The 24302-nt window shown below is 51.5% G+C and overlaps 1 protein-coding gene and 1 long non-coding RNA gene across 57 annotated transcripts in view, besides 3 other annotated features; one reads left to right on the top strand and one right to left on the bottom strand.

Annotated features, from left to right (window-relative positions):
* CACNA1C (calcium voltage-gated channel subunit alpha1 C) overlaps positions 1062-24302 on the bottom strand; it is a 727171-nt gene continuing 703930 nt past the window's right edge. For 48 of the 56 annotated variants that reach the window (XM_017019934.3, XM_017019946.3, XM_017019943.3 and 45 more), the window contains 8 exons: positions 21791-21918; positions 21145-21279; positions 19216-19568; positions 16334-16462; positions 13170-13276; positions 12743-12846; positions 10233-10565; positions 1062-8112 (listed from right to left, as the gene is read on the bottom strand). In XM_017019934.3, the coding sequence (XP_016875423.1) occupies positions 7813-8112; positions 10233-10565; positions 12743-12846; positions 13170-13276; positions 16334-16462; positions 19216-19568; positions 21145-21279; positions 21791-21918 (1589 nt within the window). In that variant the 3' untranslated portion in view covers positions 1062-7812. Of the gene's footprint in view, positions 8113-10232; positions 10566-12742; positions 12847-13169; positions 13277-16333; positions 16463-16957; positions 17063-18436; positions 18650-19215; positions 19569-21144; positions 21280-21790; positions 21919-24302 lie in introns of all 56 variants that reach the window. The other 8 variants (XM_017019932.3, XM_017019927.3, XM_047429513.1 and 5 more) reach the window with 3 other exon arrangements.
* Positions 7126-7395: a silencer, noted in NCBI's record as "silent region_4129". NCBI's record gives its function as "represses an Ori minimal core promoter by ATAC-STARR-seq in GM12878 lymphoblastoid cells {active_cell/tissue: GM12878}" and the evidence as "EXISTENCE:reporter gene assay evidence [ECO:0000049][PMID:35858748]".
* On the top strand, positions 7855-23011 carry CACNA1C-AS1 (CACNA1C antisense RNA 1). Its single transcript, NR_045725.1, has 4 exons — positions 7855-7943; positions 8033-8205; positions 8802-8872; positions 21115-23011. It is a non-coding gene; the product is annotated as a CACNA1C antisense RNA 1 (long non-coding RNA).
* Positions 19033-19996: an enhancer, noted in NCBI's record as "H3K27ac-H3K4me1 hESC enhancer chr12:2788182-2789145 (GRCh37/hg19 assembly coordinates)". NCBI's record gives its function as "activates a minimal SCP1, AML or CMV promoter by ChIP-STARR-seq in primed H9 embryonic stem cells {active_cell/tissue: H9 hESC(primed)}" and the evidence as "EXISTENCE:reporter gene assay evidence [ECO:0000049][PMID:30033119]".
* Positions 21474-21975: an enhancer, noted in NCBI's record as "H3K4me1 hESC enhancer chr12:2786203-2786704 (GRCh37/hg19 assembly coordinates)". NCBI's record gives its function as "activates a minimal SCP1, AML or CMV promoter by ChIP-STARR-seq in naive H9 embryonic stem cells {active_cell/tissue: H9 hESC(naive)}" and the evidence as "EXISTENCE:reporter gene assay evidence [ECO:0000049][PMID:30033119]".

Here is a 24302-nt window from a genome sequence, read left to right as displayed (position 1 = left end):
TGGTGGAGGGGCTTGCAGCAGTGGGGAGAGGTGCAACAAAAGTAGCTGCCCACCTCTGTGTTTGCACCTCTGTGATTAGAAGCAGCAATAAGTATCCTGAACAAAGATCCCTGAAATTTGAAGAACAGGATATTTTTAGCCCACTCTGGCCTCTACACGCTGTGTGCAAGGTGCTATTGGACAAGTGCTCAGCTGCCTGTATTATGAGATAAATAGTACTTTCTCATAATAATAATAGGTTCTGCTGGTACTATTTCCACCCAAGGAAGTCACACTGGTTATCTCTTCATGCCTGTCTATGCAGTGCTCACCCTTCCAGGAGTAGAAAGTGGGCTAGGGGAGGAGAGTGGGTTAGCTGCTACTGTACTAAGAGCTGAAATTGACCAAAATCAACCTTGATTTACTGTCCAAGCCTCCCCCTGAAAGTTGCAAACCTTCATTAGACTCCAGAGTTTCAAAATATTAATAGTTAAACAAAACAGATTCTGCCAGTGTATTTGTTGTCTATCGGGGAGGATTCTTGGTGCTCCTTACTCTGCCATCTTCCCAGAATCCTCTGGGACAAATTATTTTTACTTAAGGGGTTATTCTGAAAGGTTTATCGAAATCAGATTAAGTTATAATAACAAAAAAAAAGAAAAGCAATCTTACATTTGTATAGTCCTCATAGTACTTTATATATTATCATATCTCCCCCTCCTTTCTTCTCTCCTACATTCCATCCCTCTTCCCTTCTGTCCTTTCAAAACCAATTTCAGAGACTGCTTTTCCTGTCTAATCCATGTGAATTAGCCATTTAATTCCTCTGATTTTGTCTCCTTTTTAACTTTTGGCCATTTTTCTGTCAACTCTTTCATGAGAAGGAAGAAATAGGGGATGGGTTAACTGCTGAATGGACTTAGGTATTATCATTGGATTCATATTTCCTGTGTTCTCTCCAGTCTTCTTCCTTTTGGGGATCCCAGACAGTTGAGATAACTGAGTGAAGTTTGTATTTGTGACCTCTAGGAAACAGGAGAAAGGAAGAAATAAGGAAGAGGGAAGATACAATGAAGTCAATGTAGACATTGTTAAGAAATTTATTTGCAATTCTTATTTTTTGTGTTTTTTGTTTGTTTTTTAAATAACATCATTCCTTAGATAAAAATGCAATCTTACAGGAATATACAATAGTGTCTCACACAGAGATGACCCTGAAGCTCTCCTTGAAGGGTTGCCCCTTCTAGATTCCCTGGCCTTTCTCGAGGGTGAGAAGGCCCATCAGGCGAGGCCTCTGACAATGGGATTATTTGAGGATTACAAACTGTACAATGATATTTACAACAGTAAGACTGTGAAGTCGTGGAGCCTGGAGGGGAGGGTGTGGGGGTGTGTAGGGGTGTGGGGAATGGTGACAACGGAGGCACTGCCCATCTTTCTGTGCCTCTCTGATAACAGGCATGATACAGATTGGTTTGGGGGATGAAGGTGGGTTTGAGCTGGAGGACATGAGGGAAGGGGAGATTAGAGGAGCTTTATCTGGAGCGTTTCACAGGAGGAAAGTTTTGCATGGTAGCTCTGGTGGATTAAAATAAAACAGCAATATTATGAGAGTAATAGACCTTTCAGTGCTTCACCAACGGGGAATCTGTCGCCCTATTTCTTAATGAATGTGCGTGTTTTGCCATGGGTTATTCTCATCCACTACCATCACAGACTTGTCCAGACATGCTCATCTCTGTTTCCCATGGCCTCACTCCCACGAGGCTTGGGGGAACAGCATGCATTCTGGCCAGGACAGGACATGGCAATGGGGTGGTATATAACCTGGCTGGGATTCAAGAGATGGATTTCAGGTGTGGGTATGGGCTGCAGCTGGATGCATAGGTGGCCTGAGGCAGGAAAAGAGAAGGTGCGCACAGCTTTGGGATGCTGGAGACACCTCCTGAAGGGGATCTTTCTGCACAGGACTGTGTGTTTACAAATCATCTTCCCTTGATGTACAAGTTCTTTCCTTTTCCCCTTTTAAACATTGGTGTAGTTTCTCCATATTGGGAAGTCTTGGGGTTGGGGGCTATGTCCAGGACCCAGTGACCCACCCTCTTTTGCTTCTCTTGTGACTCTACAGGAGAGACTTCTCTTTTCTCCTGGCCAATGGCCAGGAGAGGTTTCTTCAAGGGGGTCCCTGAAACCTGCAGCCTCAGGTTCCTTGGCAAGGGAGCCACTGCTTGGCCTGGTGCCTGCTCACCTTTTTTTCCTTATTCCCTTGGTAATAAACTTGAGATCTCTAAGATTTCCACAATGGGAATTCTCCAGACCCAAACAGTGAATAAGAATCATTCTGTCCATTTCTGCATTTCCTCACATAGAAATGACCCTCTCTTAAAACTTACAAACTCTTCCACCCAGAGCTTTTTTTTTTTTTTTTTGGATAATGACCTTGGTTTGAGGTGCATGAGTGAATTTTAGAAATGAATGTACAATGTATGTCTGATTCACACCAGGGGAAGTGGCACAGTGCCCTTTCTGGGATCCCTACAAAGTCAAATTCCTTAGATCCTGAGAAGTGGAGTGCATGGGATGCCCTGAAAAGGTGGGGGTGTCCCTGTGTAGCAGCCAGTAACTGATCTGAAGGGAGAGGACTTGGCTCTGGTGATGTAACATTTCAAGCCTCTGTGTAATTACCTAGTCTTAGTCTTTTCTTCCTCATTCTTAGTAGAGACGTGGGGAACTTTCATGAAAAATGCTAATTCTGACTCCTCTCAGCGTGCAACAGATTTGTTACACTTCATCCACTCAGCTGCAAGATCTAGAGTGCTTTCAGAGGTGACTGGAAGAGTTCTCTAATACCCTACAAAGACCATGGATCTTTGCCACTTCAGGTGCTGTGGCTCAAACCTCTTAAAGTCATCCCAGGAAAAAGTGTTGATTGTAGTATTCTCTCAATGTATGTAAATAGAATTTATGTCATAATAATAGTAGGTTCTGATGGTACTACTTCCATCCAAGGGAGTCACTCTACTGCACCCTCCTTGTCTGTGTATACAGTGCTCACCCTTGCAGGAGCAGGAAAGTCCCTCATCTAGAGCTCAACCCCAGCCCTTGTGCCTTAACGGTGTGTGTCTGTGTAGTGAGGGGGGTTGTTCAAGCATCCCCCGTCAATGTAGAGATGTGGCAGAAACCCGTTCACCTGTTGTATTGGTATCTGGCTCCAGAAAGAAAAGTTTCATTGCTTTGACATAAGAATAAATTGATGAATGAAGTTAAACCCAGAAGAGGCTTCACAAAGAGGTCGTGTAAGCATCTGCCCATGGGACTCCCTTCCACGCACCGTCTTTCTCACTAGGTGTTGGGGAGGACAGGGAGCTGGGGCTGGGGAGGGCAGTGGGAAGAGGGAGCTTTGCTTAGGGACAGGGAAAGGTGCCCCATTCCTGACAGTTGTAGGACTTTTCTTTCCCTCCTGTCTTCCCCCTCAACCTCCTCAAATCGTAGCCTCTGGAGAACCTGGACTCTGGCGGCTGAGGGCCTCCCTGGGAGTGAGGTTTGGGCTTCCCCGCCTGTCTTTGCACAGCAGCCTGTGTCAGGTGGCACCTGGACAGCCTGAGGGGAGGGACATCAGCAGAGGGGGGACAGGGTGGCAGACACCCCCACATCCCACCAGGTAGGCTGATGTGGCTGGAACAACACCCCCAGATGGAATGAGTACTCTTCTCACCTTCCCAAATAGATCCTTGAGATGTCAGCGGCTCCACCACACTGGTCACTGTGGGTGGGTAAGCTGAACACATCCTTCCATGAACTGGGAAGAGGCACAGAGGGAGTCAAAATATGCCCTTTTCTTGCCTCCATTCTCCTCCCAGTCCTCTCTGTGCTGACATTTGCCCCAGAGGCAGGTCTTCTTTAAAATATGGAAACGGCCCAGACTCCATCAGCAAGTATTTGCCTCCCCTGGGGTTTAAAGAGGTCTTCTGGGAGTCAGCAGGCCCTTTTTGTGGCCTCTTTGCTGAATTGTTTCTAATCCTTGACAATGATATTTCAATTCTTGGCCTCTAGGGATGGAGATGCCATCATCCTCCTTTACCACCTTTCCCACGATGAGGCTAAAAACCCCGATGACCAGGGTTCCACTCTATCCCTGACCTACATTCGTGTTTTCTTTCTTTGCCTTTAGGAGTGGTGGCTGTGTATCTTCAGGACTCCATAAAGTAGCCACCATCTTTTGGGTGACTTCCAAAGTCCTCATTTTCTAGGTGTCACTGTTGCTCAGGAGATGAACTTGGGCATGGAAAGGTCTGCTTCTCCTGAGGTTGCCCCACTGTCTTCAGCTGCATGGGCAGGAGACATGCTGGGTGGAGAAAAGCTGGGAGAAAGTAACGGGTAGCTTCACTCCAGACAAGCACCTGGAATTTGGAACTGGGAAATAGAATGAGAGACATTGCCTTGTTCCTTTGAGTGGATTTCCCAGTGAGAGTGAGGCCTATTGGATTAAGAAGAAGGAAAGGGGTTATAACTAGTACCTTCTGAATCAAAGCTGGGAAAAATTCTCCAAGGTCTGGAAATGAAAGAGGCAGGGCTGGTCGGAGGACAAGAATTAAGTTGACCAAACTGCAGACCTTAAACTGTTGTTTCTTCAAGTCCCTTGGGCCCTTAGCCCCTGACTGTTTTCTCCTGACACTTGGGGGCTGTCAGGAGGGGTATGGAAGATGTGACAATTATGTTTTACAAGGTCATGGGGAAAATTCCATTTTAGGTGGAGAGTAGACATCACTTGGAAGATTGTGCTGTGGTTCATTGATGTCACTACTTGTGCCAGTCTGTTCTGATGACAGGCATCATACGCCAGTCTTATTCTAGTGGATCAGAAGGTCAAGCTAGGATAGTCCTCCTGCCCTAGACAGGGAACGCCTGTGTGTACCTCCTGGTAGAAATCTTGGGAACTTTTCAAAGGATGATACCTAAACTCAATTTCTAGAGGACCTTGATGGCAGTGAAAAGGAATCAAGAAAGTTTGGATGACTTGGGTGTGGATATCCATAAAGAAACTCTGTTTCTAGACTGTGTTAACCGGGGAGTATTGAGTACATTTCTCCACTTTGTCATGAATCAGTCCAGCAAGCTGTCATAGAGGAATGGACTGTCCCTTATTGTAATTTCTAGCTTACTTATATATGTGCCAAGAGGGGCTCAGGGAACACTAGGACTGGAAGAGATTTAATGGGTCAATTCTGGGTGAATGGTTGGGTCCTGTTTTCCCCAAAGCAGTCCCTTTTCAGCCACCACTGTTGACATACATTTGAAGGACACAGCACCAAAAGAGTGATGTTCTAGGGAGATATAAGTGAGCATTAGAGATGCCCCCACAAAAATCTGTTCCCACCCCCACTGTGAGCTCCGGATGCCTCTTCCCTTGTCCTGGCCCCCTCCCCGGCAGCCCAAACATTAGGGCAAGCCTGAAGGAAAGGCTGCTCCAGAGTGAGGAAGGGATGGAGAAAGGAGCACGCAGAGTTGACTTTCAGATGGATCAGGGTTTCACCAGTTCCTTTCTCGAGCCCCTGCTGTCCTTGTTGGGTAGAGCAACAAGAATCCGGAAGTGAGGATGCCCCTCCCTCCAAGCAGCCTGACTTTAATTTTATCCTCCCGGTTAGTGTACACTTTCCTAAGGAAGCCAAAGAGAAAATTCCGTGTGGTGGAAGGGAAGGGAAAGCCAGCTACCTCTTCCATGGGGGATGCGGATGACGGCCCAGTGACTGAGGGCTCATCAGAACGCCTCCCTGCACCTCACAGTGAAGGGCTGTTCTTGGAGAAGTACCAAATCAGATGACCAGAGCAGAGTGGACAGAGTGAAGACTGGAATAAAATAGGTCCTGGTCTCTCACAGCAAGAGGCGGTACAAACATACCCAGCAAACGATTTTGGAAAAATTGAGGGAAATGTAAGCAAACACAAGATATGCAAAACAGTAATGTCCAAACCTGTTTGTGGAGAGCAGAATAATGACTACACTGGTGATACCTTTGCTCATTGTGCAAACTAAAGAAAACTTGTTCCCTTTCCCCCAACCACATATAGAAAAGCACTTGAGTTCAAAGGTAAAGCTTGTCACACTCCAAATACAAAATGATTTACTTTACATGCAGCAAAATATACAAGAAGTGAATCCGAAAACCAACTTAATTCAATTCATTATATTCGCTTGGCACAATTGCAATTCAGTTTTAAAAAAATATTTGAAAAATACTGAAACTGACCTGAATTCAAGTATAACGGTTTCTTCAACAGAAACATTATCAATGCAATAAAACATTACACGGAATATATTGAAGCAAAATGCCTTCTTGTGTTTTTCCCTTAAATTTCTGTCTTTTTTTAAAATACAGTTTTAATGCCAACACAACTCACAATTGTATTTTTAAATGAATATTATTGCATTGTTTTTGCATATCTTGTGGGACAGAAAATGCAAAGAGTTACTGATTCCCGTTTCAGAAGCAGAGACAGTGGTTTGTTTTTGCTTTCAAACGGCCCCAGATTCAGATCTTCCCACAGCTAAACCAGAAAGGGGGGACTGCGTAGTCACTGGTGTGCACGGGCACATGGTGTGGGTGCATATACACGGGCAGGACATATGCACACAGACAACCCACCACACACACACGCGTCGCACACACTCGGAGACTCTCTCGCGCATGCTCCTCTCTCCCAAACCCACCTGTACACCCAGCATAAAAAGGAACCCAACTCTATCACCCACATGTGCAAGACCACATCAAGTGCATTGCCAGTTACCTTTCCATTAGATAACCGAACCAAACCAGAACAAAAATAGGTTACTACCTAAGGAAATGATAACAAATTATTGGGCATACACAATGGTTGGTAAAACTCTCCTGCAGCGGCTTCTATTGAACCTCCGTGGAAAAAGGAAACCACAACCGTTTAAATAATACAAGAAAACCAAACCCGATGTACATTGGCAAAAGTGAAAACAGAAAGGTGAGGGGGCTACAGGACTTTGTAAACACTCTTCTTCCTCCCCTCCCGCTGGGAAAGCAAAATAAAACATTTAAAAAAAACCAAAACCGAAAAGAAACTGCAACATGCTGTCAAGAAAAGTGTCAAACCACAAAACAAAAGAGCGCTCAGCGGAAGCTCAGCACCACCTGGTTGGGCGGAGCCGGCGGCGCAGCTCCTCCCTCGCGCTGCCTGCGGGCCGGCGGCTGGCCGGGAGCTCGGCGTGGCCCGTGCCGGTCGGGGGATCCCGTCGCAGGTGGGCAGGGACGGAGTGAGCCGCACCACTGCCGGCCCGACGCCCATCCCCAGAGCTCCGCGCCCCTGGAGGCCTCCTCCTCCCTCTCCGGGCCGGGTTGGGGTCCTCCTGGAAGTCCTGCCCCGCTCCCTTCTCCAAATCCGCAGGGCCCTGGCTCTAGGGAGACAGCGAGGCTCGTACAGAATATGTGCAAATGGTTTCTACAAGCAGAGTCGAAAGACACCCGTTTGCTGTAGGGTCCTTTTGGTGAGGGCGCGCGGGAAGCCGGGGTGCTCTCCCCGCGGAGGCGCGGCCGGGCCCGGGGCCTGCGAGCTGGGAGAGGGCAGGCGCCTTCCTCGCGCCCCGGGACCCTCGCCGCCTCCTCTCCCCGCCTCTGCAGACGCAGCCGGGCGCCTTCCTCCCGGAGGGCGGCTCGCGCACCCAGGCTCCGCGTCTGGTCCCAACAGAAATGAATGAAGACGCTGTTCCGGTTAACTCCAGGTCACGAGAACAGTGAGGCACTTCTGAAACGAACCCATTAGGAACATTGAAACAAATAAAAAAAAGCCCGCATCTGGCAGCGCCCACTACAGGCTGCTGACGTAGACCCTGCTGTCCTGGAGCTCCTCCTCACTCGGTCGACCCCGCGCGCGCACACAGCCCGCGTCCTCTTCGCCCCCGGCTCGGTCCTGCCCCGCGTCCCTGCAGTTCACAAAGGGTAAGAGGGCGCCATTGGGGCTCTGTGGGGCGCCCCCGCTGAGGATGTTGTCGGCCGCGCTCTCCATCTCCTCTATGGTCATGTCGCAGGCGTCGGCCAGCTCCTGGGTGGTGACCTCGATGAACTTGGGATCTTGAGCAAACTGCCCCAGTCCTTCTGAAATCAAGACCTGAAGGAGCGGGGTGGGAGCCATGAAGAACCAAAGGAACATTACTCCTGGAGCCCAGCTCTTCCCTTGAGGGCTAGAGCGAGGGGGTATCTGGTAGGTCACTTGGGGAAGTGTGCGTGTGTGCACGTGTACGTGTGTGTGTTGGGAGGGGCACCCATGGGGAACAAGTGGAGATGGAGCATCTGCCAGAATTAGGGATGTGCAGGCCAGAGAAGTTTTGGCTGGGGTGGTCAAACACTGTCATCAAATATATGAAGACTTGCTTATGGCCCAGCACGGTGGCTCACACCTGTCACCCAGCACTTTGGGAAGCCCAGGCAGAAGGACTGCTTGAGCCCAGGAGTTCGAGACCAGGCCCAGGCAACACAGGGAAACTTCGTCTCTACAAAAAATTTAAGAATAATTAGCTGGGTGTGGTGATGCACACCTGTGATCTTAGCAAGGCCAGAGACTGAGGTGGGAGGATCATTTGACCCCAGCAGCGCCAGGCTGCACTGAGCTGTGATTGTACCACTACACTCCAGCCTGGGTGACAGAGCGAGACCCTGTCTCAAAAAACAACCAAAACAAAAACCAGAGAAGGTTTGGCTCTCAGAGGGGCCGGGGGGTTGCCCTGATGCTGTATCAGCAGATCCCAGCCTGCCTCTCTCCTTTCTGACACCCACTGAACCTTTATACTATTCTTTCAGAGAAACCATTCTCCCTGGTGAAACTGCTGAGACAGGCCCACTGCCCATTGCCTGCTGCTGCCTTTCCAGGGGTGAGGTATCTGTGCAAACACGGCGCATGCCCCTGCCTTGCTTCTGCTGGGAAGGGCCAGCAGGTGACCCTTAAGCTTCTCTGTCCTCCCTACCGGCTGCTTAGTGCCTGGCTATGGGAAAATCGGCTCCTGAGCCAGCGGGTCGGGGGAAGCTGAGTGCAGCCTGGCACTCGCTCCTTTCAGGCATCTGTTTGTCTTGCTCCTTGCCCACGCCACTCATTCTCTCCTTGCCCTGCTTAGTTTTTCTTTGGCACTCCTGACCTTCCTGATGTGTTATATATGTATGTGTTTATTATCTGTCTCTCCTCACCATGATGTGAGCTCATGAGAGCAGAAGCTCTGTTTCTCAGCTGTGTCCCTGTACCTAGAACAGGGCCTGCACATGGTAGGCGCTCAGGGAAGGTCTGTGAAATGAATGCAGGATGATCGAGGCCACAGGAATACCAGACTTTGAGAGGTAAACCTTGGAAGCCACCTGGTTTAACGCCCCACCTCCTGCACCACAGCCTGACGCCCGGATGAGCACAGTCTCTGCTTGGCTATGTCTGATGATGGGGGGCTCACTACCTTTCAGGCAAGCCCCTCTCATCTTGGAAGAGCTCATTTGGGAAGGTCTTCCCCATGTGAGCTGAAATCTGTCCGCTGGTGGGCTGAGCCTGCCACCCTTTCCCCATCCCACCCGTTGCAGGTGTGAGAGGTGTATCGCACCCTCCAAAGTCACCTCCTCTCCAGGTTTTCTTCCCGAATTCCCTGAAACGGTTCTCCTAGGAAATGGTTTCTAGGAACCTTGCCATCCTGGTCATCCTCTGTTGGGTTTGTTCCAGTGTGTCAAAGGTCCCTAATAATGTGGTGCCGGGATTGCACTAGATGCTCTGACCAGGCAGAGCACAGTGGGACTGAAAGCTCGCTTGTTCTAGGCTAGTGGCTCTCAACCTTGCTACACGTTAAAATCATCGAAGAGCTTTAACAATCATCAGTTAATCTGTCCCGGGTTTCCAAAGCTCCCCAGGTGATGCTCACGGGCAGTCAGGCCTGAGCACCTTGGATCTTGCCTGTCTGTGTATAAAGGCAGCCAGGCTCACATTTGCATGTCGAGCAGCTGCAGTATAAGGGATAAGTTGCTCAGTGGTTTCTGCCGCCCTCTGCAGTGGGCCCAGCCTCAAGAGAGCCCATAGCATCTTGTGCAGTCATGGCTTTCCGCACACGAGCCCTCCTGCAGCCCTGAGAGGGAGGGTCTTTCGGGCTCAGATATTGACTGCAATGAATTTGGCAAGAGCCAGGTGCTCCCTTCTCAGCCCCGCATGCCAAGTCCCCTTGTTGCCCGTGGCCTCTCCCCCCTGCCCATCTGCGAGTCACCTACCGCTTCCACCAGGCTGCTGGCACTGCCGTGGAACTGCCTCCCTGGGGCCCCAGCCTGGCTGGGCACCATGAGGGAGACGGGCCGGACTCTCCGGGCGGCGCTGCTGCCCCCGCCACCGGGGGTGGTCTCAGCCCAGGAGCCGCAGTGGATGGATGGGAAGCTGCTGTTGAGTTTCTCACTGGACTCGACCCCCTCAAGCCGCAGGGTGGGGACGGGCTGTGGGGGCCAGCCTCGGCTGCCAGGTGTGGCTGGTGGGGTGGCAAAAGGCCTAGGGAATGAGGCAGGGGAATGGCTTCTCTGGAGGAGGGGGCTCAGGCCTGCCACTGCCAATGCCTGCGGACACACAAGGAGTGTGAGTTAATAGGAGTGGCCGACCCCAAACAAGGCAGGCCCCTGCTTCTGAGCAAGCACTGCTTTGCAGCTGCTGTGTCCAGCTAGCTCCACCTGCCTGGTATTCCCATGCCATTATTTTCCCCTGTCGGTCCTATCTCAACCTGGCATGACTTTCAACTATCTCAAAATACATCTTAGGATCATCTGGGTCTGAAGTGATCTCTTTCTCCTGTAACTTCTGAAAGCTGGGATTGGGTGAAGTCGTGGTAACCTGCTTTTAGCCCTGGCCTGGTCACCTGTCAGCTGTGCATTCTCTCGCTCTTGGTTTTGTCCTCAATAGAATGGAGAGCAGGGTGAGGCCTGCATGTCTGTAAAGCCAGAAAACGAATGCTGTCTATCCATCTGCCCTGTGGGGCTGGTGTGAGGCTCAAGCGCAATGAGGTCTGTGAAGAAGCGCTGTGCACCTCACAAAGAGTTGGGAAAACCAGTATTTGTGGTTTTAGTTCTCACAGTTAATGGGGCCATTCATAATGCCCTGCCAGTCTCTAGCTCAGGTTGTCTTTGAGCCATTGTTAAATCCGGTGCTGTATTGTGATTAAAAGATTCAGGGCTGGGAGCAGTGGCTCATGCCTGTAATCCCAGGACTTTGGGAGGCCAAGGCGGGCAGATCACCTGAGGTCGGGAGTTCAAGACCAGCCTGACCAACACGGAGTAACCCAGTCTCTACTACAAATGCAAAATTAGCCAGGCATGGTGGTGCATGCCTGTAATCCCAGCTACTTGGGAGGCTGAGGCAGGAGAATCACTTGAACCCGGGAGGTGGAGGTTGTGGTGAGCCGAGATCGTGCCATTGCACTCCAGCCTGGGCAACAAGAGCAAAACTCTGTCTCAAAAAAAAAAAAAAAAAAGTCACACGGTACGCCCTCTGTCCCTGAATATTCTTGAGCATCCTGAGGGTAGGGACCAGGCCTGTCTGGCTGTTGCCATGACAACCTGCCAGGGCAGAGGCTCTGCAGGGTGAGCTGCTCTGATGGGATGTGCTCCCGGGAGAGAGCGACACTGTGGTGGGGAAAGACCACCTCTAGGGTCACAGAGTACAGGAGGAGAAAGAGATGAAGAGGAGAGTTTCGTGCCTACCAGTACGACAAGAACAGATAGGTGAAATCGACTTCTAGAAATCTTTTAAGATAGCACACACAGTGTCCCCACATCCTTCCACCTCCTGCCCCTGCCCATGGTGGTCCTCAGCCTGGGGCTCCTGGGTCCCTGGGAATCTGAGAAAAGTGTAAGGCCATATTCATTATTTCAGAAAGCCCAGTGGAAGACAACACCACACAGGCTAAGAAAACCTGTTTATTTTTTGGAGCTGAAGTACTATCAACTCAGCCAGGCCACACTGGCCATCTCATGCTGATTATGACTTTTGATTGGCAGTTGAATGCCTTTGGGTACAAAGCATAGGTCTATTTAAAACATAGGTCCATGCTATAAAAGAGTATAACTTTAATAAGGTCAGAATGTTGGGAAACCCAGGTTTAGACCTCAGTTTGCCTGGGGTTAATAGACTGGCCTTAGATAACACTGAAGTTCAAAGATACTAAGGCATGTTTGGTCCTGGCATCTTGGATTTCACTGTCTCAGCTGGAGTCAGCCATGCCAAGAGACATTTCATTTATGGAATCTCCCTGGACCTGCTTCCCACGGATGTCATTCCCTACTCTTGACCATGTTGCTGGTGGGTTCTTTAATCACTTCTTTATGTCACTGGATGGATTTTTGTGTGGCAAAATTTCCAGGTATATTCAAACTCTAGGTACAAGTACATCTTCCTGAGTGCCCTGAGGCATAGGCCAGTGTCAGAGGCGTCAGTGGCATCTGTGGCAGCCTAAGAAGAAAGCTCAGGTGGAACCTGCAGCTGTGGGTCCTCAGGATCACACAAAGAGCTCCTGTGCACCAGCACTTCCTAGGCCCCCACCTGCGATGCTGCAGACCTTGCCGTGGCCCTCACCTGCACAGGAGTGTGAAGCCCTACAGGGATGGCTCTTAGGGCAGGGGCAGGACGTGCCAGCCATCTGAGACAGGCAAGACCCACTGAAGTCTTCAGGATTTGTCCGTCACCCTGGGGACTGTCTGGCCTGCTGGCAGGTGACAGTGGCCTGTCCAAAAGTGTGAGCTACCTGATGATGAACCAGATGCAAGGGCAGGACTGTCTTCTGAGAGATGTCTCCCCCTCGGTCCTTCTGTCGCTTCAGACATTCCAGGTGGAAGGAGGCCCTTCGACCTGCAAAGCCAGCCAGAGAGCCACCATCAGGGCAGGAAAACAGGGCACTGGCCTGTGACAGTTTACACCCTGGTGGGGTGCCAGGAGCAGTAACTATGGCCCGAGACGCTCCTCCTTTCCCCTCCCCTCGTCTGAGACGTATTCTGGTGTCCAGGGCTCATCCCTGCACACCCTGCCTTTGGAATGTTGTCTCCTTGCTTTGGAAATGCCCCACTGTGTGGGGCTGATTTGAGGCAGGCCACAACGATTTCCCAATCATCCCTGACCAGTGTTCTCTAGGGAGTAACCGCCGACCACATCCAGAGAGCGAGCGGTGCATTTACCTAGTGAGGCAGAGCGGAGGAAACCCCTCTTCGGAGATTGCCGGATGTCCCTCTTGTCCTCCTCTGGGAGCGTCAGTTGCCGATTTTCGTCATCCTGGTAGGAGAGCCTGGAACAGAGAGCTCATGGGGCTTGTTCCTGGAGGCTGAGAAGTGGCCACCCACAGGGACAGCTGCACCCCCGGAAAGCACTTTGCTCTGATCCTTAGTGAAGGGACGCACACTTTGTGCTTACATGCAGGTTTGGGGAATTGCCACCCCAAGAAGTTCTGGCCTGCCCCTGACGTCTTCCAGGCCTGCTCAGTGGGAATGGCCAGCTCCTCACCCGCAGCCTGTCTCATAAGCCTGCAGTTCTGACTTGGGGCAGTGAAGGCACTCTGGGGTCAAAGGTGTTGAGAAAGCGGAAAGAATCCTAGGCCCATGAAGTTCTTTTGGGGAATGGCCTTGGCTCCCGTGTTTGCATGAGCTGATGCTGTTTTCCCCAGTGACCCTCAACTTTCACCCAAACTTATGCCCGTCCCCCGATTTCTCCCGCCCTGCCACCCCCTCATCAGCAAGAGCACATAAGCAGCTGCCTACAACCACTCTACGGTCACTCAGTAGGTGAACAGCAGGGCTGTGAGGGACCTCATGGGGCATCTAGTCTATGGCTTCCAGGCCTTTGATGGAAACTCGATGAGAAGTAGATTTGACAGCTTCTCATCATGCACAGACACACCTGATGGAATGAAACCTCATAGCCTTTGGTTACCCTCGGTGCATGCGTTGCACCCTGGTGAGTCCCAGTCCACTTTAGTCTGTTCTATTTTTATTAAAATTTTGATTCACAATCTCTGCTGGGTCAGCCTGCAGTTCAAGAAGCACAGCTGCATTCCAACCTCATTCCCAGATGAGACCACTGACTCACTGGTCCCTGGTGCCACCCCACACCTCTGAGGGTGACTCCATGCCTGCTCATGGTACAGCACAGAGACTTGGATGATTTATAGATGTGCAGGAAGGCTGGTAGAGTGCAGACCGCAGTATTTATACCTTCAAGACTAGCTCTTACTCTCAGCTAGCTAAGGCCTCCCTATTGTATTTTCTTCTTATGCAAATCACCCTGGCTCTTGCAGATCCAGCTTCCATTTCACCTTGTGCGTGGTACCAGTTCAGGTCACCCTGCCCTCAACTTTCTCTGAACGCCTGTACCCCTGGGGGTTGTACCACTCTGGGGGTAGTGAGAAACTCTGTGTTATCTTCCTCTCCTGAGACCCTCTTAGTTTCCTAGTTTGTGGAATTTCCTTGAGGATGGAGACTGGGTTCTTAACAACCTAGCAGAGTGCCTGGTGCACCAAGCACTCTAGAATAACCGAAATAGTTTAAAATATATGCTCTTCCTGATTTCTAGGGTAGGTGGTCAGGCATTCGTTTGTATTCTCTAAGAATCAATTTAGAGACAGTTATCTCATAAGGAGCTTCAGGTATTTCCCTTTTTTATATTGACCGTGTTTCACTGAGTCAGAAAAGTAGAAGGCCTGTCACCCCCACCGTCCCATTTTGCTGATGGGGACACGAAGGCACAGGGCAGTTGAGTGATTTGTCAAGTGCCGCTGGTTGGGACTCTTTCCATGCTTTTCCTTACTCACTCGATTCTTCTTTCTATGCTGGGGAAAAGGAGGTGCTTCTGCTACTCTTCCCATCCAGTTCCCGAGCAGAAAGCACTGGACCCCAGGAAGCCGCATGCTGTGCTGGCCTGGCTGCCATTCTCCCCACACTCCTCAGGGTGGGGCACCTGGTGTCCCCTCCCACCACCTCCAGCCACACCTTTCCTGTCTTCAAAAGCCTGCAAGGCTAGTCCTTCCTCACTCTGAAGTCCTTTCAGGAACTGAATGGACTGACATGCTGGGAGGGGTCGGTGAGGGCTTCCCTCCCGCCCTGGGCCCCCGTGGGGCTCCTCCCTGTCTGCATCGGCAGCTCCAGGGTTCCCTGGCGGGGCTGAGAGAGGACACACCCTGCATCGTGCCTGGCCACGCTTCACTGTGCTGCCGTTCCAGAGTGGGACAGTGGCTCCCAGCAGGTGGCACAGCCCCCCAGCATCCCAGGTTCTTGACATGCCTGCCCTCCAGCTCAGAAAATAATAGAGAAGTGGGAGCTTCTCTCTAAACCCCTGGAAAAGTGTCCATCCAAGGAGCAGGCACACCTGCCGCTGGCCTGCCTGTCCCTCCAGAGGGCCCATTTTCAAGTGGCTGCACGCAAGCCCATGGGACCCAGGCATTACCCCCTGGGGAAAACCCCATGCCTCAATTTCCCTTTCTACAAAATTGAAATGACATATGCCCTCTCTGTCTCAGAGGCCTGTTGTGAGTCATGTATACAGTAACAGATGAGACAGGGCTTTGAGGGTGAAAAGAGCCAGAAAAGCTTCGGAAACACTGTGTCTCAAACTTCTGTGGATGTCACTCTGTGTCTCAAACTTCTGTGGATGTGACTCAGAGTCATAAAGATGTTTCTCAAGGAGACCCCCAGATAGCCACATCTGTTGGCAATTAAGCAAGTGTTTCCCAGCACAGCGCTTACCTTTGTGACGTTTGACGCATTCTGATAGTTTCTGATATTGTGCTGTGCTGCACCTGCTTTTAAGGGCTAGTCATTAGTGACCAAATGGATGTCACCACCTTCTAAAGGATCTAGAACTGCAGCTAAAAATACTCTAAGAATGGCAGCAAGGACAAAAATCTCAGGCCTGGCTTTGCCACCAGTGCCCTCTTCTGGGCAGCTTCATTATAAGCAGTGTCTTGAAACACTTGTTTAATTATCTATATATGTATGTGCATACTGAGTCTCACCAGAAAATATATTTATGACTGTGTCTTACAGCCTACAATGTTTATAAAACAATGTTCAGAAATTTTCCTGGCGAGGAAACCCCAAGCTAAAAAGGGCATCGTGTATGTGTGTGTTGTGTGTGTCTGTGTGTGTGTGTGGTGTGTGTGTGTTTGTGTGTGTTGTGTGTTGGGGGGCTCCCATTTCACTGAGGAGATGAAAGAGGCGGTGCAGATGTTTTCTCTGTGATCTCCTCTCCTCCTGCAATCAGCCCCAGAGGAGGGATCTCAGGGACCTGCCTCTGCCTCCCCACATTTGTTCCCACACTTGGGTCAGCCTCAGCAGAGGGCAGCAGAGCTCACATCTCTGTGGAGAGCAGGCTGGGCTCACTGCAGGCCTCCGTGTCATGGTTCATCTTCACTTCATAGGTCTCATCCTGAGACGTCTCCTCCTGACCCGCCATGGCTGCCTGGCTCTCCCGGGAGTGGCACCTACAATATCCAAGATGAAGAAAAACATCAGAAACTGCCAACCTTCCTCCACTTCCTTCAGCAAGTAAAGCATCACACACGCACACACATGCAGGTGTACACACGTGCACAAACACAAGCACACACACGTGAACAGGCATACAGTTGCTGGTGCTTTGTTCTCCTGTGATTGCTGATGGATCCATAGAAGTGTTCAGATTAGGGTGAGGGTCCCATTTGGGAGAAGGATGTCTGCTGTGGATCCAGGAGTCCTGACCCCAATCCACTTACCCTCTGGTCCAAGTCACTTGGTCCACCTCATGCCTCAGTTTCCCTATGAAATTGGAATGACATATGCCCTGCCTAACTTAGAGGCTGCCCCCCACTCACCTCCAGCTATGACACCTGGGTCTTTGGCATTTGGCATAGCTGAGAAGTCCTTGGCCTCTTATTTTGATGGTGCCCTTGATTCTGACACTGGCACCCTGGGGTAAAGGCACAGAGAGGAAGCCTCACCTAGAGGGGTTTGCTCTCCTGAGCAGAAGGCAGTGAGCCTGAGTCCCTGCTGAGCCTGAATCCCTCCTGAGCTCCAGATCCTCACACATCGGAACGTGCCTTTCCCTGCTGGGACAGGGTCAGGTCATCTTTAGCTCTGGACCAAGGCCTCTTCCTTTTCCTGTCTGAGCTCAGCTCAGTGCCTCCCTTTGTCTTGCTTTCTATAGACCTTGCATGCTGGGCCCACTTTATCCTCAGACCCCTGAGGGCATCAGAGAAAGATCCTGGTCCATCCTCTCAGAGCCGAGTGCTAAATCAGTGCCCTGGCTCTGAGCATCCCAGGCAGGGTAGAAGCAATTCTCTCTCTCGAGGAGGAGGACTGCAGACTGCCACCCGCCCCGCAGTGGAAGGAAAGATGAGAGGTGGGAGCTCCAGGAGGACTGGGAGGGGAGGGAGGTGGAGTGGGCTTTGGTGAAGCACGGAGGGAGGAGCTGGAGACGCAGAGCAGCAGCAGGCAGGCAGCAGCACTTTTGGGGGCCACCGGGCACAGGACGTGCTGGCCCATCCTCAGCACAAGCAATGCTGGCACTAGAGCTGCCGTTAGCCTTGAGCTGTGACACGGGGACAAGGGAGCTGGGACGTGGGCTATGCTCCTCCTCTTCACCAAGCTGAAGCTTGATGCCCTGTGTGTTGTTTGTACCATCTGCAGTGGGCAGAGGGAACCGACATTTCATGAGCACCGACTGTGTGCTGGGCACTGTGCCGGGTGCTTTGCATGTATTTTGCTATGTGGAGAGATATATCTGTGGGGACAAGGAAATCCCCTGGGGTCTCCTCCCCCAGCTCCTCTAAACATCCCTCTCCCCTTATGTCACAGAGAACAAAGCTTCACATGAAAATGCCCTTAGAGGGTGGGGAATTAGTTCACCCTGAGATGCTAAAGACGGACGTGGAGCCCTCCTTAAGCAGAAGCTTCATGAGGCCAGAGGGGAGAAGGGGGTATGGGGACCCAGTACTTGGGTCCTCAAAGGCCGTGGAAGGGGAGTGAGGTTGCAGAGAAGGATGAGGCCCCCACAACAGGTGCAGGCCCCCAAGACTAGATGCCTAGATTAGATCCTCTCCTATGCAAAGCCAGCCCTTCAGGCCGGCACATAAAATCCAGTGCCCAGCACACTGCCCTGTGCACACAGAAGGCAGCAGTGCAGGCCTCATGAATTGAAGGATGCCCCCAGTGCTGCTTCTGGGTGGCTAAACCAGCCAACCTTGCAGAAAGGAAAGCAGACAGGGAGATGGTCCTTTTAACTGGCCTGTCGTCTGACACAATTAAATGCCTGAGTCCCATGGGCTTGCATGCAGCCCTCTTGAAATGGGCCCTCTGCAGGGACAGGCAGGCCAGCGGCAGGTGTGCCTGCTCCTTGGATGGACACTTTTCCAGGGGTTTAGAGGGAAGCTGCTACTTCTCTATTATTTTCTGAGCTGGAGGGCGAGCATGTCAAGAACCTGGCATGCTGGGGGGCTGTGCAGCCTGCTGGGAGCCACTCTCCTACTCTGGAAGAGCAGCACAGTGAAGCGTGGCCAGGCACGATGCAGGGTGTGTCCTCTCTCAGCCCCGCCAGGGAACCCTGGAGCTGCTGATGCAGACAGGGAGGAGCCCTGCGGGGGCCCAGGGCGGGAGGGAAGGTCCCACCATCCAGCATGTCACAGCAGTGCATCCTAGAGCACAGGGATGAGAGGACAAGGAGAAAAGAGTGAGTCAGGAGTAAGAGGTACAGTCAAGACCTCCAGGAATGATCCTGTGCTGGGCAGAATGGGCCAGTGCTACAGATGGCGCCTCCCACAGGGGATGCCCTCTCCGGGAGGCTGGCAAAGGGGCTCCAGGGAAGCAATGGAAACACCATTCCCATCTCGGCTGGGAGAAAGGCCAGGTTTGGGCAGAGACTCGGGGAAGGGCAGACGGGATGGTTTCTGTTGTGAAGCCGGAACACAAACATCTGATGATCACATTCTGCCACTCAGGAAGTGTGGGAGAGGAGAGGGCCCTGTGGGAGAACCAGCGCCGCAGGCCACTGCTGACTTGCCCTGAGCCTGCCAGGTCTGATCAAGGGCAGGACTTGGGAGACAGCATAGTGCCTCCTGCTCTTGCTGGAGTCTGGGGCAGCAACCTCCTGGAAGCTTGAGGGACAAGTGGCTGGCCGAGGCCTCCGTCTCCTCCACTGTCTCCTGAGGGTTGCAGCACGTGGGCCCTGTGTGCCGCCTGGGGTGGCCAGCCTCCCACTTACCTGTTGGAGCTGAGCTTCCACGCCACCTCCTGCACCCGGATGGCAGGGGACAAGGGGGGCCCGTGGCCCTCCACAGTGCTGACCGTGCTGGGGTAGCCGGCGGGGCGAGGGAGGCGACCCAGGGCGGTGTTGTTGGCGTTGTTGATGTTGGCGTTGGAGCCGGTGGACGAGTAGCTGCTCGGGGTGAAGGTGGAGTCCACCAGCTTCTCGTGGGATGGCGACTCAGTGTCGCCCTGGCTGCTGCCCGCCTTGTTGATGTGCAGCGGGCGCTGAGTGGTGAAGGTCTGGGGGAAGGCGCTCCGGCCGTCGCTTTGGTAGTAGCTGACGTGGTTGCCGAACAGGCCACCGGCCCTCTGTAGGCAAGAAGGAGGGGTGGGTGGAGAAGCCCCTTAGCACCCACTCCTCCCAGAGAGCAGCCTCCACAGCCAGGTCAGGGAAGTGCAGGGCCTGGGAAGGCGGGCTGCCTTCTTTCGGGTAGGCACAGCCCTGCTGGGAGCCAGGAGCACCTGAGGACCTTCTTCATGCCTGGCTGCTCCAGAGAGGGAGGGACCCGGAGTCTCAAGGCTCTGGACTCCCCTCTGCAGCAGCTGGGAGAACCCACCCACCAGTGGGGATGGGATTGGGCAAGGGGCTGCCGCTGGTACGAGCTGCCCTGGAGGTTTCCAGTGAAGCCCCTGAAGGCTGGGAGTGAGTTTCCAGGGCACGTCTAGGATGGTGGTCCCTAAGAGCAGCCAGCACACCGTGAGGGCGGGGGCTGGGAGAGCGACCAGAAGATTCTAACCAGATTTAAAAAATGGAAACCCAGTGTGCTCACAGAGCTAAAAGCTGGTTGGCCAAACGGTTTTGAAAATGAAGAATTTCCTGCATGATGGTCTTTTTCCCCTCGGGGACTCAGAGAGATTTAAAACCAGGAGCCAATGTTTTTCCCCAGTATTCTTTTCCTTGTCCTGGGGAAGTGGGCAAGTAGCTATTTGCACGGTTGTTCCAACCCTTGACATCAGAGCATCCCTGGGCCTTGGTGACTGAGGCTTTGGTTTCTGGTGTCTTGTCGGGTTGTGTCACCACCATGCCATGTCCCTGAGGCCACTCAGTGACGAATGTCTCCCAGTGACAAGAATAAGGATGAGGAAGAGACGGAGCAGGGGCAGGATGGGCTCAGCTTGCCCCCTGTGTGTTCCACAGCCTGGGAACTGGGCCCGCGGCCGGGAGAGAGCGGTGTGAGCAGGGTCCTGCACAATTATGGCTGGCAGCTTCTCCCTTGCTATAGAAGGATTTGTAACCAAACACCAGCGTGGTGAGGCAGGCAACACAAATGAGTGATAAACGCCCCTTATTCTGGTACAGCCGTTTTAATTTTCACTATTGCAACTGCTGGGCAGCTTCAGTCTCCAGGAAAGGAGAGGGAAAGGGGAGTTCTGGAGGGGTCTTGGAGACCTGGAGAACACACGCTATGCTCCATCTCAAAGGGCCACCGCCTCTAGGCTCCGGCCCTCTGCTGCCCTGTGGGAATGCAAGCTTAATATTACCAGGTCTCCTGACTTTTCCAAAGAATGCCAGAAGTCTTGATTTTCAAATATTAACAAACAAAACAAGCCTGCAGATTAGATGTGCCCCAGGGGTGACCACTCTGCAACTTCTAATGCAGAAGTTTCTCCTAGGAAACATTTCCCTTAGGAAGGCGGTTCCTTCCCGCTTCTCTGAGAGCCAGTGACACTGAGAGCTGCTGTTTCCAGGGAGCCCTGCCTTGGGATGGAGTCAGGCTTGGAAAAGGCAAAGGGGTGAGGAGACAGCTCATCAGGAAGAGCCTGGAAGTAGCCCTTTCCTCTGGTGCAGCTCCTTCCCCTGGACGTTCCCCGCAAAACCCCAGCCCAACCTCTTGCTCCAAACTGAACTTTATAGGGGTCGAGAGTGCGCCATGGCACCACCCACCCTGAAGATGTCATCTTCAGAAGCAGCGGACACAGCCTCCTTCATGGCCTTGTCCAGCTCCTCCTCAGCGGTGAGATCTCCAGAGATGGCCCGTCGGATCTCAGGCCCGATGTCATGCAGTGTGCGCAAGCCAGCCTGGAATCCAAGGGGAGGATGGTGAGGACCACGCTCCCTTTCCTCCAAGCTCCCCAGCCAGCCACAGCCTCGGGCCAAGACCTGTCCCTCCAGGGCCCTGGCATCCTCCACCCAGCCAGTCGACCCTCCGGAAGGTTTGTGTGTGTGTGAACTGGGGGCTGGGCTGCCCTCTGATGGAACAATCCACTCGCCCATCCAGGAGGGATGAAGGCTCATTAGGACGGGGCACCAGGGGTCAGGGGCTGTCACGGGAGCCTCAGTGAAGTATTTGAGAGATCTGGGGGCTATGACAGCAGGCAGAACCATGGAGGGCAGTCGGTGGGTGGCAGGTAGGGAAGGGCACATCACCCCCTTCTCACAGCCATCTTTGGAAAGGTCTGGAGCTCTCTGAAAGGTTCCCTCTGCAGGGACCTGGCCTCCAGCCTGCTGGGGAGGGACCGGGACCCTGACTGGAGGTCAGAGGCAATGACCAGGACCTTCCTGGAGTGTGGGCCCGCCCCCAGGCCCTCACCTGCAGAGACAGCGCGTTCCTCTGGGAGGGCTTGCCCACAAGGCCCTGCTCTTTGCGCTTCTTGAACTTCCGGAAGTACTCCTGGATCAGGAACGTGGCGTAGAACTTGCCAACGGTGACCTCATCATCTGAGACGTATGGAGAGGGGAGAGGGGGTAAGAGGGGAGCAGGGGAATTCAGTTGAACTTCATTCATTTTTTTTTTCAGCATCCAAAACTTTTTAAAACTTTAATATTTTTGGAGAGGTAATACATTCACATGGCTTAAAAAGAGAGAAAAAAAACCATAAAAAGGCTTATGGTCAAAAGTCTCTCCCACCACAGCCCTTATCTGCCTAGTCACCACCTCCTGTAGATCATCTAGTTTCTTGAGTATTTTCTCAGAGATTCTTAGTGCAAATTAGTTATGTAAATCATCAAACATATTATCTCCTGTTTTTTTTATGCAAAAGGTAGCCTACCATCAAAATTATTTCCCGCTTTTTTTTTTTTAACTGAACTGATACATTTGATTCCAGAGCTTCAAATGTCCCTCATCAACTGGCCACTCTTCCAAGTGCAAGTGCAAAACGGTTCAGCTTAGCTCGGAGGGAGGGGCTGGTGGAAGGAGGGCTTTCTTCCCATGGAAGTTTGGATTTTTCTTTCAAACCCGATTGAGTTTTTGTGCCAGGTGGCTTGGCTGCATCCCTGCTGGGCTGGATACCCAAGATTATATGTGACATCATCAGTCCCTTTCCTGGGAGTAAACCTGATGGTGGAGAAGCCATAAGTTCTTAGAGGAAACATTTCATGCCTGGGGAGGAGCCCCTTGGATCTACCTCCTGGTTCTTTGTGAAGAGATGCCACGGGCCCAAGAGACAGCTGGGGATTAAATCTAGGGGCTGGTGAGGGTTCTCCTCCTCCTACCTGTCCCTCCAAAATAGCCACATCCATAGCAGTGATGACCCCTCCCTTCTCTGGCAAGCACCCCCTTTCCACGTGGGAGGGAAAAACCCAGGGTCCCCTGTCCAGCATAGTCAGGAAGGAAGAACTGCATGGTGGGACAAGCCTGGAGTCCTACCTGGAGTCCTAGGTTCCCTGGGGCCTGGGTTTGAATCCTGAATCTGCTGTGGACTCTCCAGGTAACCTTGGGCCAGCAACTTAGCTTCTAAGAACTTTAGTTCCCTGAGCAAACTTCACAGAAATGTTGTCAGGATTCAATAAAACGATGTATGTAAACATCACATGGCACTGGCGAGATTTTCGCTTAGCCCAAATCCGGCTTTCCCTCTGGCAAATGGTTCTCAACACAAGTGGTGTCGCCTCTTAAGGAGGGCACAGTAAATGTGTGGGGTGGTTTTTAGTTGTCGGGGTACTGTGGGGGTGCCACTAGCATTAAGTAGCTCCAGACCTGTCCCTTAAAGTGCAGGCATGTTCTGCAATCACAGCTTTGCACTCTGCATGGCTCTCAAGCTTATGCCACACATCCATGATTCTGCTTAGGAGTCTCTGGGCTCGGAACATAATTTCATTTTGCAAATGAACACAGGACATTGTTTTGCATGGTTTTAACACACCTGACAATTTCCAGGAATACAACTGCTGTGTAAATTGAGGAAAACTATACTTTGGATTATTTAAACTTGGCCAAGAGAGGTTCGCATTTTGGAAAACTGTATTCCTGATGGCAATGCTCTTTAGGGTGTGTGGGTCACTCACCGTAAGTGTCACATCACGGTTGTTCTGCATATGTGTAAGTATGTGTGTGTGTTTATGTGTGGGGGGCTATTTATACACACACTTATTTAATATACTGATTTACCCCTTATTTCAAAATGGCAAATCAAAGTGTTGACAGTATTCAGTATTGTCTTGTTTCCTGTGAACCCAGCCGTATGTGTTGTAAGTGGGTGCATGAGAAGATCTCATCAATTAAATGTACCTGCTGGTATAGTTATGCCTGAGTATTTACATATTGGAAACATCTGCTTTTAATAGATTTTATGTTAGAGTGAAGGCATTATATTAATATTTTGGAAATTATATGTATAGGAAAGTTATATTACCTATAATTTTCATTCAGGATCATAGTAAAGGCAATATAAACTCTTTGCTATAAAAAGGGATTTGAGGCTTGATAGGGTCAAGAAACACTGCTCTTGGAAGAACAAAAAGAATGTCATCCAAGAGGGGAGGAATCTCAGGGGATTCTCGTTTGAGGGCCTTAGAGCAATCCTACAGCAATCAGGTTTATGGGAAACCTATACTTTGTGGAGTTTCTTTAGAAGTTCTGCCAAACCCCTAAGCATCAGGGACTTGCCTGTTACCCTATGTAAAAAGCAGGGTTGTACCAGATTTCCAACCTGACTTTCTGTTTCTGAGTTTGTGCAGGGCGTTGCACCTGCCTCCCTTCTAACCAACAGGGCCTCTGAGCCCCACAGGAAGGGTCTGAAGGCAGACCTCCAGCAAGCCTAGGGGACTCAAGAAGCAAGTCTCAGGGGATGCTTCCGCATTCTAAGGGTGCCACAGCTGGA

This window comes from Homo sapiens, chromosome 12 (assembly GCF_000001405.40).
Source record: "Homo sapiens chromosome 12, GRCh38.p14 Primary Assembly".
NCBI classification, from domain to species: Eukaryota; Metazoa; Chordata; class Mammalia; order Primates; family Hominidae; genus Homo; species Homo sapiens.
This window is presented reverse-complemented; position numbering and strand designations above follow the sequence as displayed.